At 38.4% G+C, this 15,785-nt stretch overlaps 1 protein-coding gene across 13 annotated transcripts in view, besides 1 other annotated feature; it reads right to left on the bottom strand.

The window, feature by feature from the left end:
* TPST1 (tyrosylprotein sulfotransferase 1) overlaps nt 1–15,785 on the bottom strand; it is a 161,654-nt gene that overhangs the window by 31,815 nt on the left and 114,054 nt on the right. The gene's annotated exons all lie outside the window — the stretch shown is intronic.
* Nucleotides 13,174–13,829: an enhancer, noted in NCBI's record as "NANOG hESC enhancer chr7:65779787-65780442 (GRCh37/hg19 assembly coordinates)". NCBI's record gives its function as "activates a minimal SCP1, AML or CMV promoter by ChIP-STARR-seq in naive H9 embryonic stem cells {active_cell/tissue: H9 hESC(naive)}" and the evidence as "EXISTENCE:reporter gene assay evidence [ECO:0000049][PMID:30033119]".

Here is a 15,785-nt window from a genome sequence, read left to right as displayed (position 1 = left end):
AGGTTGCAGTGAGCCAAGATCATGCCACTGCACTCCAGCCTGGGCGACAGAGTGAGGCTGTCTCAAAAAAAACAACAAAAAAAAACTATTTCATTTGTGAATGGGCTAAAACTGAGAAACTCAGAGGTTAGCAACCTATTCTGTAACAAAGGCCAGGGTAAATATTTTAGGTTGTATGAACCACAGTCTCTGTTCCAACTACTCAGCTCTACTGCTGCAGGGCAAATGCAGCCACACAAAACATATAAATGATTGAGCATAGTATGTTCTAATAAAACTTTATTTACCAAAATGTATGATAGGGCCAGGCGCGGTGGCTCACGTCTGTAATCCCAGCACTTTGGGAGGCTGGGGCGAGAAGATTGCCTGAGCTCAGGAGTTTGAGACCAGCCTGGGCAACATGGTAAAACCCCATCTCTACTAAAAATACAAAAATTAGCTGGGCATGGTGGTGCACACCTATAATCCCAGCTACTCAGGAGGCTGAGGCAGGAGAATTGCTTGAACCTGGGAGACAGAGGTTGCAGTGAGCTGAGATCGCACCAATGCACTCCAGCCTGGTCTGGGTAACAGAGCAAGACTCTGTCTCAAAAAAAAAAAAAAAAAAAAAAAAAAAAGGAAAGGAAAAAAAAAAGAAAGAAAAAAAAACACCAAAAACACAACAAAGAGACAAACAAAATGTATGATAGGCCAGATTTGGCCTGCAGGCTGTGATTTGCTAACCTCTGATTTAACTAAAATCAGTTTTTAAAAAATAGATCTTTAGACCATCTCCAGAAATATGTACCAATGACTAAACTATGTGCTTAACACAACATTATGCATTATGGACTCTACATTTTTGCTTTTTCTCATAGTTTTCTTCAACGTACATACACACACACACACGCACTTTTTTTTTTTTTTAAGACAGGGTCTTTCTCTGTCACCCAGGCTGGAGTACAGTAGCACAATCACGGCTCACTGCAGCTTTGACCTCCCAGACTCAAGGGATCCTCCCACCTCAGCCTCCTGAGTAGCTAGGACTATGGGCACCTGCCACCACACCTAGCTAATTTTTGTATTTTTTATAGAGTCAGGGTTTTGCCATTTTGCCCATCCTGGTCTCAAACTCCTGGGTTCAAGCGATCCACCCACCTTGGCCTCCCAAAGTGCTAGGATTACAGGCGTGAACCACTGCACCCAGCTGTACATATACATTTTTTAACTCTAAAGGTTAAAAGACTAGTCTTACAACCAGGGGTTCTGAATTCAGATTTACTGTGAACTAAATATAATTTATCCCTCTCCTTTCTTTCTGTAAACTCATTGTAAACTCTAATATAATCCTTCCTTCCAATTATAGTCCAGAGCACAGAATTAATCAGAAGCCTTAGTTTCTGACAAACTTTCATCATTGGTTTATGCCTGGCCTGCTGTTATTTATTTAGTAATATAATTTATTATTTTTAAATAATGCAATAAACATTCCCCTTTGAAGAATTATGACTTGATAGTTTCACATGCAGAGAAAACAAATAACTCCAGCCAGATATGATTACACAAAAAGGAATCTGGAGTTTGAAATCCCCCTGGGCTCCTGTGGTCCACCAGATGCTCATTATCTCTAAAACACAAATACTGTAAAACAGCTGATAACATTCATGTTTACATATTTTCATTTGTTTCAAAATATTTTGGCAGCTTTGCAAATCTCAGACTCAGTTCTAGGAAAGTTCAACAGTCTTGTGCTGCCTAGAAACAAATGAATAAATGTTGTCAATACTTATATCAAGAAGAAAAAAAATTAGTCAGTCTAGAAGCATGATATTCTTTCTATTCCAACAGTAGATAGAATTTAGGAAGAATTCTATTTCTTTTAAGTAAAGGAAATGGTTCAGTGTATCAACTTTCAATGAAGTTGGACAAGATGGATTGGAATGTGAATTGAGTTGGGAATGTGTCGTGACTGTGAAATAGGAACCTCTTACTCTTACAGAAAGTAGTACAGAGGAAATTTAGCATTAAGGCATTGATTTCCTGGTGGGGGGAAGTTTAGTGTGCAGAATGATTAGGAAATCATATTATTTGACCACAGGACATTTATCAGGCAGGAATGCTATTATTTCTGTTCAAAGGAAATAGTCCCAAATCAAGTTTTCAGAGACACTGAAAGACAGTTAATATATACAAGTAAAGTCAACAGTAATTTCATCAATTTCCTTTCACTGGAGTCCTTTTCCCCTCTTTTCTCAAACTGGGGAACTTTTACTTATCCTTTAAACATGAGAATACAGTAGCGCCATCTCTGAGCTCACAGGGCATTCTGAATGCCCTGTTCTTACGGCAGTTATACTGAATTACCATTAATTGTAAATCTATCTTCTTCACTGGACTTAAAGGAGACAGGTAGAGTCTTAATCATCTTTATATTCTAGATGGAGGAACAAACAGACATGTGGATCAAAGAAGAATAAAAGCGTAAGATCCTTTCATAGTCATCTCCATTTTTACAGTTGATAGACTCACAGAAGTTTCTGAAACCAATTTACAGCATAGATTGAACATAAAAAGACAGAAAAAGTGACTCTGTTGGAGCCTCCCTGATTGCAACCTGCTGGATACAACATTATAAAATACTGGCATTCATTCTATCATTCTATTCAATTCTTGCGAGAAGAAAATTAAAGAAGTTTTACTTTTTAAAAAAATTAAAGGCCAGGCATGGTGGCTCACGCCTGTAACCCCAGCAATTTGGGAGGCCAAGGCGGGCAGATCACGAGCTCAGGAGTTCGAGACCAGCCTGGCCAACATGGTGAAACCCTGTCTCTACTAAAAATACAAAAATTAGCCAGGCATGGAGGCGGGTGCCTGTAATCCCAGCTACTTGGGAGGCTTAGGCAGGAGAATCATTTGAATCCGGGAGGCACAGGTTGCGGTAAGCCAAGATAATGCCACTGCACTCCAGCCTGGGTGACAAAGCAAGACTCCATCTTAAAAAAATAAAATAAAATAAAAACACTGTATAGGCAGCTGGGCACAGTGGCACATGTCTGTAGTCCCAGCTACTTAGGAGGGTGAGGTGGGAGAATCACTTGAGGCCAGGAGTTCGAGACCAGCCTAGGCAACATTGGGAAACCCTGTCTTGGGGGGAGGGGGGAAACTTAAAAAAATTGTTAAAAACCATTGTATAGTATTCTCTTTTGCTTAATTACACTTTAAAATGTTCATGAGGGAACAACGAAAAAATCCAGGCATGAAAAAAAAAGAAAAGAAAAATGGTAGTGATATGGTTAGGCTTTGTGTCCCCATCCAAATCTCCTCTTGAATTATAATCCCCATAATCCCCACGTGTCAAGGGAGAGACCAGGTGGAAGTCACTGAATCACGGCAGAGGTTCCCCCATGCTGTCCTCGTGATAGTGAGTGAGTTCTCACGAGATGTGATGGTTTTATATGGGGCTCTTCATCCTTCACTTAGCACTTCTCCTTTGTGACTTGTGAAGAAAGTGCCTTGCTTCCTCTTGACCTTCTACTATGATTTTAAGTTTCCTGAGGCCTCCCCAGCCATGCTGAACTATGAGTCAATTAAACCTCTTTCCTTTATAAATTACCCCGTCTTGGGCAGTTCTTTATAGCAGTATGAAAACGGACTAATACAGGTAGAAAACCTAAGAAGTTCTCTCTAGCCACCAACATCAAGACTTTGATATAAGAAAGAACAGAATACATTTTCAAAACCAGTAATTTTAATCTTGTTTTTTTTGCCTGGAAGAACATTCTATGTAAACCACATTTCAGATATGAGTGTTTTGTCTTGTTTTTTTTTTTTTTTTTTTTTTTTTTTTTTGAGACAGAGTCTTACTCTGTCACCCAGGCTGGAGTGCAGTGGCACAGTCTTGGATCACTGCAAAACCTCTGCCTCCCGAGTTCAAGCAATTCTCCTTCCTCAGCCTCCCGAGTAGCTGGGATTACAGGAACCCACCACCAGGTTTGGCTAATTTTTAGTAGAGACAAAGTTTCACCATGTTAGCCAGGCTGGTCTTGAACTCCTGACCTCAGGTGATCCAGCTGCCTCAGCCTCCCAAAGTGCTGGGATTACAGGTGTGAGCCACTGCACCCAGCCGAAAATGGCTATCATTGCACCAGCATTTAAAAGCTGAAATCTAGATATCTTTTTTTTCCCCATTTTAAGTAGATTTTAATAAAAGTATATATGTAAAAAGTTTATACGTAAAGGAAAATGTGCAAACCACAGCTAAACAGCTCAATCAAATTCTATGGAGTAAACACAGATTGAGAAATAGAAGATGACCCAGTGGCCTTCCTTGTCCCTCCTTCTAGTCATAATGTATCCTTTCCTCCAATAAGAGTAACTCTGAACTTTACAGGAATGAAATCATACCCCACCCCTGATAACCTCCATTCTACTTTCTATCTCTATGAATTGACCTATTCTATGTACCCCATAAGTCAAATTATACAACATTTGTCCTTTTGTGTCTGGCTTATTTCACCCAGCACAGTGTCTTGAAGTTTCATCCTTATTGTAGCATGTATCAGAATTTCATTCCTTTTTAAGGCTGAATAATATTCCTTTGTGATCTATTGATCCATCTTTACCACATTTTGTTTACCCATTCATCTGTAGATGGACATTTAGGTTGTTTCCACCTTCTGACTGTTGTGAATAGTGCTGCTATGAACACTGGTGCACAAATATCTGTATCCCTGCTTTGACCTCTTTTGTATATATACACAGAAGTGGAACTGCTGGATCAAATGGTAATTCTATAATTTTTTGAGGAACTACTGTACTATTTCCCATGTATTTTTTATTATAAGCATCCCGGTGGGTGTGAAGTAGTATCTGATTATAGTTTCAATTCACCACAAATTGGGTGATTCAAGAGGAACCAACTCTGGCTGACTTAAACTACTAATTGGGTGATGTAAATTTTTATTATTTGACTTGCAAGAATTCTTTATATAATCTGGATACCAATCTCTAGATAGCATCTGTGGGTTGTCTTTTCACTTTCTTCATAACATTTGTAATACAAAAGTTTTTAGTTTCGATGCAGCCCAATTTGGATTTATCTCAGGAATGCTAGGGTGGTTCAATGTAAGATAATCATCCAGTGTAATACATAATAATAAAATATAAAGAAAAACACATCATCTCAATACACACAGAAAAAAACACTGGGCAAAACTCAACATCACTTCATAACAAAACACTTAGTAAACTAAGAACAGAAGAAAGCTTCTTTAACATGATAAAGGACGTTTATTTAAAAATCCACAGCGGCCAGGCAGGGTGGCTCACGCCTGTAATCCCAGCACTTTGGAAGGCTGATACGGGTTGATTGCCTGAGCTCAGGAGTCCGAGACCAGCCTGGTCTGGATAGATGGCCCAATTAAAGAATCAAAATAAAGTTAAAGAAATCAACTCTAAAGAAACACAATTTTGCAAGTCATGTATCTGCTATGGGGTTAATATTCAGAATTACATAAAGAACTTCTACAATTCACAGCAAAAAATCAAAAAATCCAATTAAAAATGAACAAAGTATTTCTTCCCAAAGATGATACATAAATAGACAACAAGCATATGAAAAGATGCTCAACATCACTAATCATCAGAGAAATGCAAATCAAAACCATAATGAGTTACCATTCATATCCATTAGAATGGCTACTATTTAAAAAAATAAAAAATAAAAAAATAAAAAAAATAACAAGTGTTGGTGAGCTGTGGAAAACTGGAACCTTTGTGCACCACTGGAACCTTTGTGCACTACTGGAAGGGATGTAAAATAGTGCAGCTGCTATGGAGTAACAGTACGGCAGCTTCCTGAAAAAATAAAAAATAGAACTCCCATATAATTCAGCAATTCCACTTCTGAGTATACACAAAATAACTGAAAGCAAGAACTCAAAGAGATATCTGCACATCATGTTCACTGCAGCACTATTCACAATAGCCAAGAAATGGAAGCAACCCAAATTGATCAACAGATGAATGGATGAACAAAATGTGGTACAGACATACAATGAAATACTATGCAGCCTTAAAAAGGAAGTCCTGTCACATCCTGTAACATGGATGAAACTTGAGGACATTATGCTAACTCAAACAAGCCAGTCACAAAGAGACAAATACTATTTGATGCCACATGAGGTACTTAAATCGAGACAAAAGTAAAATAGGGACTGCCAGGAGCAGCAAGGAGGGGAGTGGGGAGAAGAAGAATGGAGAGTTATTGTTTAATGAGTATAAAGTTTTCCGTTTTTCAAGATAAAAAGTTTCTGAATCTGTTTTACAACACTGTAAATATGTTTAACACTACTGAGATGTACAGTTGTAAATCTTTAAGAGAGTATTTTATGTCATGTGTTTCTTACCACAATGAAAAGAAATCAATTCCAGGCAGGTTACAGATCTAAAAGAGAAAGGTAAAGCAATAAACTTTTCATTAGATAACATAGGAGGATATATCCAAGGACTTGAATTGGAAAAAAGATTTATTAAATGGTATGCCAAAAGCAGTAAAGAAAAAGATCACAAAATTAGACATTAAAATTAACTTCTATTTTTCAAAAGACAGCCTTAAGAGAGAGAAAAGGCAAGGCAGATAGATGGGAGAAGTTATTTGAAACACACATGAAGTGTACATATCAAAACATGTAAATAATTCCTAAAAATCAATGAGAAAAAAGCAAATGATTCAAAAGAAAACCAGGCAAAGAACCTGAACTGGCACTTCACAACATAGGCTACTGGTCAATGACATATGAAAAGGTGCTCAGTCTCAGTTACTAAGGAAATAAAAATGTAAACCAAAATGAGATATCAATAGACACGAGGAAGAAAATTACAATTTTAGAAGATTAAACTGTACAAGGTATTGGCAAAGTAGAAGAACTGAAGTTCTTACACATCTGCTGGTTAGAGAGTAAACAGGTATAATCACTTTGAAAAACTCTTTGGCACTATCTCTCAAATTTGTACCTACAGATATCCTTTGACCCATCCTTTTCAATCTCTGCTGGAAAAGTTTATTAACTCAGCAGGCCTGGTTGCACATTCCCAAGACAGGCCTGTTTTCAGGACTGGCTATTGGCTGCCTCCTATCATAGAATCTTATGTCTGATAAGAAATGTTTCATGTGTCTGAGGCCTTGGGCCATGCTGTACTGGTTTAACCAGATAGTTTATGCTAACAATGTGATTTATGGTTGACACCTGCTTTTTCTCTGGGGATCTGGAGCCTGACCCTGAAGTCAGTTGTGCAGGTAATACCAAATGCCTATGTCATGACTGACCCCTAATAAAAACTCTGGACACAAAAGCTCAGGTGAGCTTCCTTGATTGGAAACATTTTGTGTGTGTTGTCACACATGTTGCTGGGGAAATGAAACATGTCCTGTCTGACTCCACTGAGAGGGCACATTGGAAAGTGAGCAGCTGGTTCCTTCCAGACTTTGCCCATGTGCCTTTTCCCTTTCTTGACTTTTACTTCATATCCTTTTGCTGTAATCAACTATAATCATAATCATAACTTCTGATTACTATGAGTGGTCTTGGGAACTCCCAATATAACTCCCAGGCATACTCCCAACAAAAATGCATTATTCATGTTCACCAAATGATATGTACAAAGATACTGTGTATCAACATTAAAACAGAGTCAAAAAGTTCCAAATAGTTATGTAATTATAGCATAATATTAAATAACAAAAATGAACAAGGCCGGGCACGGTGGCTCACAACTGTAATCCCAGCACTTTGGGAGGCTGAGGCGGGCAGATCACCTGAGGTCAGGAGTTTGAGACCAGCCTGACCAACATGGTGAAGCCCCATCTCTACTAAAAATGCAAAATTAGCCGGGCGTGGTGGCACATGTCTGTAATACCAGCTACTCGGGAGGCTGAGGCAGGAGAATCGCTTGAACCTGGGAGGCGGAGGTTGTGGTGAGACGAGATCACTCCATTGCACTCCAGCCTGGGCAACAAGAGTGAAATTCCATCACACACACAAAAAAAACTATGACTACATGCAAAAACATGAATCTTACAAAATGTTAAAAAGAAAGAAACCAGGCTGGGCGCGGTGGCTCACGCCTGTAATCCCAGCACTTTGGGAGGCCGAGGCGGGCAGATCACAAGGTCAGGAGATCGAGACCATCCTGGCTAACATGGTGAAACCCCGCCTCTACTAAAAATACAAAAAATTAGCCAGGCATGGTGGCGGGCGCCTGTAGTCCCAGCAACTCGGGAGGCTGAGGCAGGAGAATGGAGTGAACCCGGGAGGTGGAGCTTGCAGTGAGCCGAGATTGTGCCACTGCACTCCAGCCTGGGGGACAGAGCAAGACTCCGTCTCAAAAAAAAAAAAAAAAAAAAGAAAAAGAAAAAAAGAAAGAAAGAAACCAGACACAAATGAATATTGTCAATCCTCCCAGCCAAAGGTTACCAGGAACATAGCTGTAGTTGCACATGTTGGGTTCATTATTCATTTCAGCAAGGAATAACACATATAATTGGGAATTGTGGAATGTCTCAGTAAAAGAGTATTAGAAAAGACTATTATATGATTCAGGTTTTGGTTAGGTGATTTTGGGTTTCTTCCAGATCGGGTGCTACCAGGAAGCGGGGACGATTTTTGATTCAGGACAGAGATTATCTTTGGAGAAAAGTAAAGAGGAGGAGGGAATAATTTGGAGGGGTAGGAGGGGAGCTTCCAGGGTACTGCTAATGCCTCCCTGGAAAGAAAAATAAATATTTCTGGGTTGAAAAATGATGGGAAAACAGAAAGCTACTGGCAATAGTTTGGACACTCTTCATCCAATTACGAAACAGGATCAATGGACTTTCACTAAAAGATGAAGCTTGCTATGCTCACTTGCCTATCAAGTCAGTATTTAAGAGAATGTGTTACTTGTTGAAATTCAAAATATATTAGGTGAAAAATATATAAAGCATTTGCATGAAGTCCACTGGCACTTATTCAAGCTTTCAAACCTCAAAACTGTGTATCTGGACAATGCAACACTGAACTTCTATCAAATTCAGCTACTTTGATTCAATAACAAAAAAGGATATGACAACATTTAGAGATATCTATCTTCTTGAAGAAAACAAGTACAGCAGGCTGACAATGAAGACCTAGGAGTTCAACTGCTGAAACACTTCAGATCAACTTTTGATGTTTTAAAAGGAACAAAAGAGTATTTTTTTAAAGTAGCAGGCAGGCTAAAAATAACCCAACATATATATTTTTAATTAAAATATACTGGACACGTTAAAGAGCAAATGAAACAGATGAAGAAAGAATGAGTGAATCAGACAATTGATCTAAAGAAATTATCTAGCAGATAGAGGTAAGAAGGCAGAAAACATGAAAGAGTTGTTAAACTATCTGGAGGACAGAATGCAACATTTTAATATTCAAATAACTGGAGTTCAAAGGACAAAATGGAGAGAACGGAGAAGAAGAAATATTCAAAGAAAAATGGTCGAGAATTTTATAGAACTGATAAAATACAGGAAATCATATAAATATACAAAACAAAACAAATAAATGAGAAAAGCCACAGTTAGCTATATTGTAGTAAAATTGGAAAATACAGTTATATAAAGAAGACCTTAAAAATCAGAGAGTAAAGTCACCCACAAAGAAATAGCAACTACGCTGATAGTAACTTCTCAATTGCAAAACTAGGGCCCAGAAAATGTTAAAATATCTTCAAAGTGCTGATGGAAGATTACTATAAACCTAGTCTATTCAACAAAACAACATTTCAAGAATTAGAGTGAAGTAAAAATATTCCCAAATATGCAAAGTCTGAGTCTACCATCAATTTACCTTTACCAAAAAAACTTCTAGGCTGGGCGTGGTGGCTCACGCCTATACTCCCAGCACTTTGAGAGGCCAAGGCGGCGAGTCACATGGTCAGGAGATCGAGACCAGCCTGGGCAACATGGTGAAACCCCATCTCTACTAAAAATGCAAAAATTGGCCAGGCGTGGTGGCGGGCACCTGTAGTAGGAGCTACTCGGGAGGCTGAGGCAGGAGAATCCCTTGAACCCAGGAGGGGGAGGTTGCAGTGAGCTGAGATCGTGCCACTGCACTCCAGCCTGACAACAGAGTGAGACTTCGTCTAAAAAAAAAAAAAAATTCTGAAGAATGTACTTGGGGGAAAAAAAAGGAAACCAATCTGAGAAAGATGATCTTAGATGCAAGAAGTAATTGTGAGCATGGGAAATGGTAAACATATACATAAACATAATACTGTCCATATAAAGTAACAGTAATGATGATGTCTAACATATAGTGTTAAAAAAAGAACTTAAATATTCAACAGTAATAGCATAAGCATTAAAAGGGTAGTTATCAGAGTTAGGATGTTTGTGTGGGGATTTAAAAATATTAAATAACTTTATCAAGTAGAGTTTGAACAGTAATATATATTTATTTATTTATTTATTTTTGAGAAAGAGTCTTGCTCTGTCGCCGAGGCTCGAGTACAATGGCATGATCTCGGCTCGCTGTAACCTCTGCCTCCAGGTTCAAGCGATTCTCCTGACTCAGCCTTCTCAGTAGCTGTGATTATAGGCGCCTGCCACCCCGCCTGGCTAATTTTTATATTTTTAGTAGAGACGGGGTTTCGCCATGTTGGCCAGGCTGGTCTGGAACACCTGACCTCAGGTGATCCACCCGCTTTGGCCTCCCAAAGTGATGGGATTACAGGCATGAGCCACCGTGCCTGGCCTGACAGTAATATTTAAAGGTTAACAAAATAATAAATATGTGTAATGTCTAAAATAATAGTAAGAGAACATGGAATTTTTTTAAAATCATGCAAAAAGAAAACAGTCCACAAAAGCACAAAACAAGTGGGAAAAATAAAAAGCATTTGAAAATATAGTTTTAAAAAAGGGACAATAGGTCTGCAATCCCAATAAAAAAGCCCTACACTTCCTAGAAAAACAACATAGGTAAGATTAGACTAACAATTCTGACTATAGGATATTAAAAAAAAAACATTAAAACACAAAGACTCAAAGAATGAAATTTATAAAAACGATATACTAGGGAAATTATAACCAAAAAATATTGGGGATAGCTATATTAGTATCAAACAAAATAGTTTTTAAATAGGCTCCCAAATTTAGCAAAAACAAACAAAACATAGGATGCCTAGTTAAATTTGAATGTCAGATAAACAACAATTTTTTCAAAAGGAATGATGAATATTTAATTAAATGTTCAATTAAACAAGCTAGAAAAGGAGCAACAGAATACAGCCAAAGAAAGTATTACTTGAAAAGACTAATAAGAGAGACAAACCAGTAGTAAGGTTATCCCCCAAATAAGCAAACCCCCCACCAAAACTGTATAGGTAGCACAAATCAGTAATATTAGGACCAAGAAGTACATATAACTAAAGATACAGATTTTTGAACACATTCATTAAATACTACAAACAACTTTATCACAAGTGGTGCAAGATCAGAGACAACCAGCTCCACGCATGTTTATGTCTTTCCATGCCAGACTTTTTTTGTTAACTTTTATTTTAAGTTCAGGGGAACATGTACAGTTTTGTTCTATAGGTAAACTCATGTCATGGGGGTTTGCTGTACAGATTATTTCATCACCCAGGTATTAAGCCTAGTACCCATTAGTTATGTTTCCTGATCCTCTCCCTCCTCCACCCTCCACCCTCCAGTACACCCCAGTGTCTTGTTCTCCGCCATGTGTCCATGTGTTCTCATCATTTAGTGCCCCCTTATAAGTGAGAACACGTGGTATCTGGTTTTCTGTTCCTGTGAAAAATGAATAATTTTTGCAATATGTAGAACATACTTATACTAAAAAAGTACTCAACATTTATCTGAAATTCAAATTTAATTGAGCATCCTGTATTTTATTTAGCAATTCTACTCTGTAAGACAAAAAGCATTTTTAGTGATAGTCCGTATGTTACAATAAAATGTTCAATTTGCTAGAAAATGCTAATGAATCTAAATTTGTAAGCTCTCAAAAAATAGCCTCAAAATAAAGCAAAATTTGACAACTTTAGAGAGAAATGAACAAATCTATCCACAAAGTGGAAGATTTCAACACAGCTCTTTCAGTTATTTACAGACCAATGATACAAAACATTAGCATGAATTAAGGGCTACATAACTGTCAAGTTTGACTTCTGGCCTACCAATAAAACCCAGCACCCATTAATTAGTGAATACACATCCTTCTCAGGAACACACACACAGTAAGATTCACAAAAACTGACCCGTCTTAGATCATTAAGCTTCAACAACATTTTACAGAATTAGTATCATTTAGATAATATTCTTTAACTATATTATATTTAAGTCAGAAAGGAGTAACAAAAATGTAACTTAGAAAACCCTTAAAAACAATTCTAAATAATTTATGAACACAAATAATTTTAAAATATTTAGTTCAAAACAAAATTAAAATATTATTTTTAAAATTACGCAGTGAAATCAGAATTTTTTTTTTTTTTTTGAGATGGAGTTTCACTCTTGTTGCCCAGGCTGGAGTGCAATGGCATGAATTTGGCTCACCGCAACCTCCGCATCCTGAGTTCAAGCGATTCTCCTGCCTCAGCCTCCCGAGTAGCTGGGATTACAGGCATGTGCTACCATGCCTGGCTAATTTTGTATTTTTAGTAGAGGCAGGGTTTCTCCATGTTGGTCAGGCTGGTCTCGAACTCCAGACCTCAGGTGATCTGCCTGCTTTGGCCTCCCAAAGTGCTGGGATTACAGGCGTGTGCTACCGCACCTGGCCCGAATTTTTTTTTCTTGTTATTCTTGCCTGATTGAACTTAGAATCATTTTAACAATGTTACCCCACCATCACCCCTACTCCCTCCGTAATTCCATTAGACTGTTGGAATTAAGTAGACAAATTCATGTGGCAAGAACCAAGATATTTATACTATTCAATCTTCCCATCTAAGAACATGATCTGAACTCTCCATTCAGTTCTTGCGCATCAGAGATCTTTTTCTTGTCTTGTCACATTAATAAAATCTTAGCTAGTGTGCTGGTTATACTACCATTCCCACAACCCCGCAACACCTTCTGTGCCCCAGGAGGTCAAGCTCTCCAGATTGCATCACCCAGGCTTTCTTGTCCTTTGGCTTATGACTGGGCAACCGTGAGCACTACTAACAGGTCAGAGCAGCAGCAGGAAGAACTCAGCTGATTCCCCCAGCTTTGTCTCAACCTTGCCTCTGTGCTGACAGTGGCTGTTTTTCTCTAGAGACACAGCACCTGTAGGTGGTTCCTCCTCTATGAATTCCAGTTTCACGAGCCTGATAACCATGTGCCCTCCCTTTGCCTCCGCAGGTCTAAGGGTGGCAATGGCTTCCCACTGTTGCTAGTTACTGGGTGCTTCACCATTCCTTGTTGATTCCCTTACTGTGGCCACACCGTGTTAAGTCATTCCTTTGATAAACTCTTTTCAACTGAACTGTTTTGAATGGGTCATTTGTTTCTTTTCATTATCATAACAGATACAATTAGGTGTTGAATTTTGTGACAATGATCATTCATTAGAATACCATGAAATGGAGGGAGTAGTGGAGTTGGAAAAAAGCAGCATTTTCCAACTATCATAACTGTACCATTGGTGTGGGTAAGAATAATCAATGGATGCTCATCTAGAGTGTAAAGCCTGATGAAAAGCAAGATACAGCCATGTGCCACATAATGACATTTTGGTCAGTAATAAACCACACTTATGACAGTGGTCCCATAAGATTATAATTCTGTATTTTTACTGTATCTTCCTATGTTTAGATATGTTTATATAATACTTATCATAGTGTTACAACTGCCTACAATATTCAGTACAGTAACAAGCTGTACAGTTTTGTAGCCTAAGAACAATAGGCTAAACCATATAGCCTAGCTATGTAGCAGGCTATACCATCTAAATTTATGTAAGTACACCCTATGGTGTTTGCACAATGACAGAATCACCTAATAACACATTTTTCACAATGTATTCCCATCGTTAAGCAACATATGGCTATTTGCACAGTCTTCAAGTTTTTTCCACATTGATCGTTTTTATTTTTAATTAATTTATTTATTTTTGAGACAGGGTCTCACTCTGTCACTCAGGCTGGAGTGCAGTGGTGCAATCTCAGCTCACTGCAGGCTTGACATCCTGGGCTCAGACAATCCTCCCACCTCAGCCTCCTGCAGCTGGGACAAGAGGCACATGCCACCAGTCCAGTAGAGATGGGGTCTCCCTATGTTGCCCAGGCTGGTCTTGAGTTCCTGGGCTTAAGCGATCCTCCTGCCTCTGCCTCCCAAAGTGTTGGGATCATAGGCATGAGCCACAGTGCCCGACCACTGATTGTTTTTTAATTGAAAGGGATAAAAAAGTAACCATAGAGTGGAGACACCGAAAAAACACATTTACCATGAGATCGAAATTAACATCAACGGTGTGACAGATGAACATCATACGCCTTCAGATGTGGATACCTTGAGAATGAAACCACACAATTTACCTAGTATTGTGGCCTCATATGCATAACCCGAATAATAATCAAGAGGAAACATCAGACAAACCCAGAATGAGGAACACTGTAAAATAACCTGCCAGCATTCTTCAAAAAAATATCAGTATCATGGAAGACAGAGAGCATCTGAGAAACTGTTACAGATAAAGAAAACTAAAACAATATAAAACTATATATATGATGTGATCTTAGACTGAAACCTGTACTGGTAGGGGAGGAAAAAAAAACTACAAAGTCCATTTTGAGATAACTAACAACATTGAAATATTTTATAAGGAGAGAGAAAGAGAGAGAAGACAAACACATGAATTTGGGAAAGAATACACAGGATTTCTCTGTATTATTCTTACAGCCTTTCTGTAAGTTTTTAATTATTTCAAAAGAAAAAGAAAAAGCACCATGAATATTGCTCCACTACTGTAGTTCTTAACTCTTTGTTTCATGAAATCCTGGAAAATATGAGGAACGATATAGATTCTATTCCCAGGAAAATCAACTTGCATCAAGACATAGAGGTCCAAATATTACTGCAGGGAGTTCAAAGACCACATAAGCTAAGGATCACTGCCCACTGCTCCATCATTTTCCAACATTTAGTATTTGCAAAAGAAAATTTTGTAGCCAGCATAATTTGTTTATTTTATTTTATTATTTTATTTTTTTTGAGATCAAGTCTCGCCCTGTCACCCAAGCTGGAGAGTTATGGCATGATCTTGGCTCACTGCAACCTCCGCCTCCCGAGTTCAAATGATTCTCCTGCCTCAGCCTCCCGAGTAGCTGGGATTATAGGCACATGCCACCACACCCAGCTAATTTTTTGTATTTTCAGTAGATTCAGGGTTTCACCATGTTGGCCAGGCTGGTCTCAAACTCCTAACCTTGTGATCTGCCCACCTTGGCCACCCAAAGTGCTGGGATTACAGGCATGAGCCACCGCGCCTGGCTACCAGCATCATTTTTGTTTCTTTGTTGAAAGCTCATTTTTTTGTGCCTTGATATATGCAGGATTTTTTTTTTTTTTTCAGGATCCTTAAAATCAAAAGAAAACCAGCAAAATATGTCTAGGTACAGACACGTTTTCATAATGTTCTTTAGAATACAGTGAGCTCTTTTATTCTTCAGGTCATTTTCAACCCTGGAAAGTCTTCCACAATGACACATTTGATCCATGCTTTTGTTCCACTTCTGTTGTCTCCTTTGCAGACATCTATTAGTCACCAGTTAAATCTCTATTT

Source organism: Homo sapiens, chromosome 7 (assembly GCF_000001405.40).
Source record: "Homo sapiens chromosome 7, GRCh38.p14 Primary Assembly".
In the NCBI taxonomy this organism is placed as follows: domain Eukaryota; kingdom Metazoa; phylum Chordata; class Mammalia; order Primates; family Hominidae; genus Homo; species Homo sapiens.
This window is presented reverse-complemented; position numbering and strand designations above follow the sequence as displayed.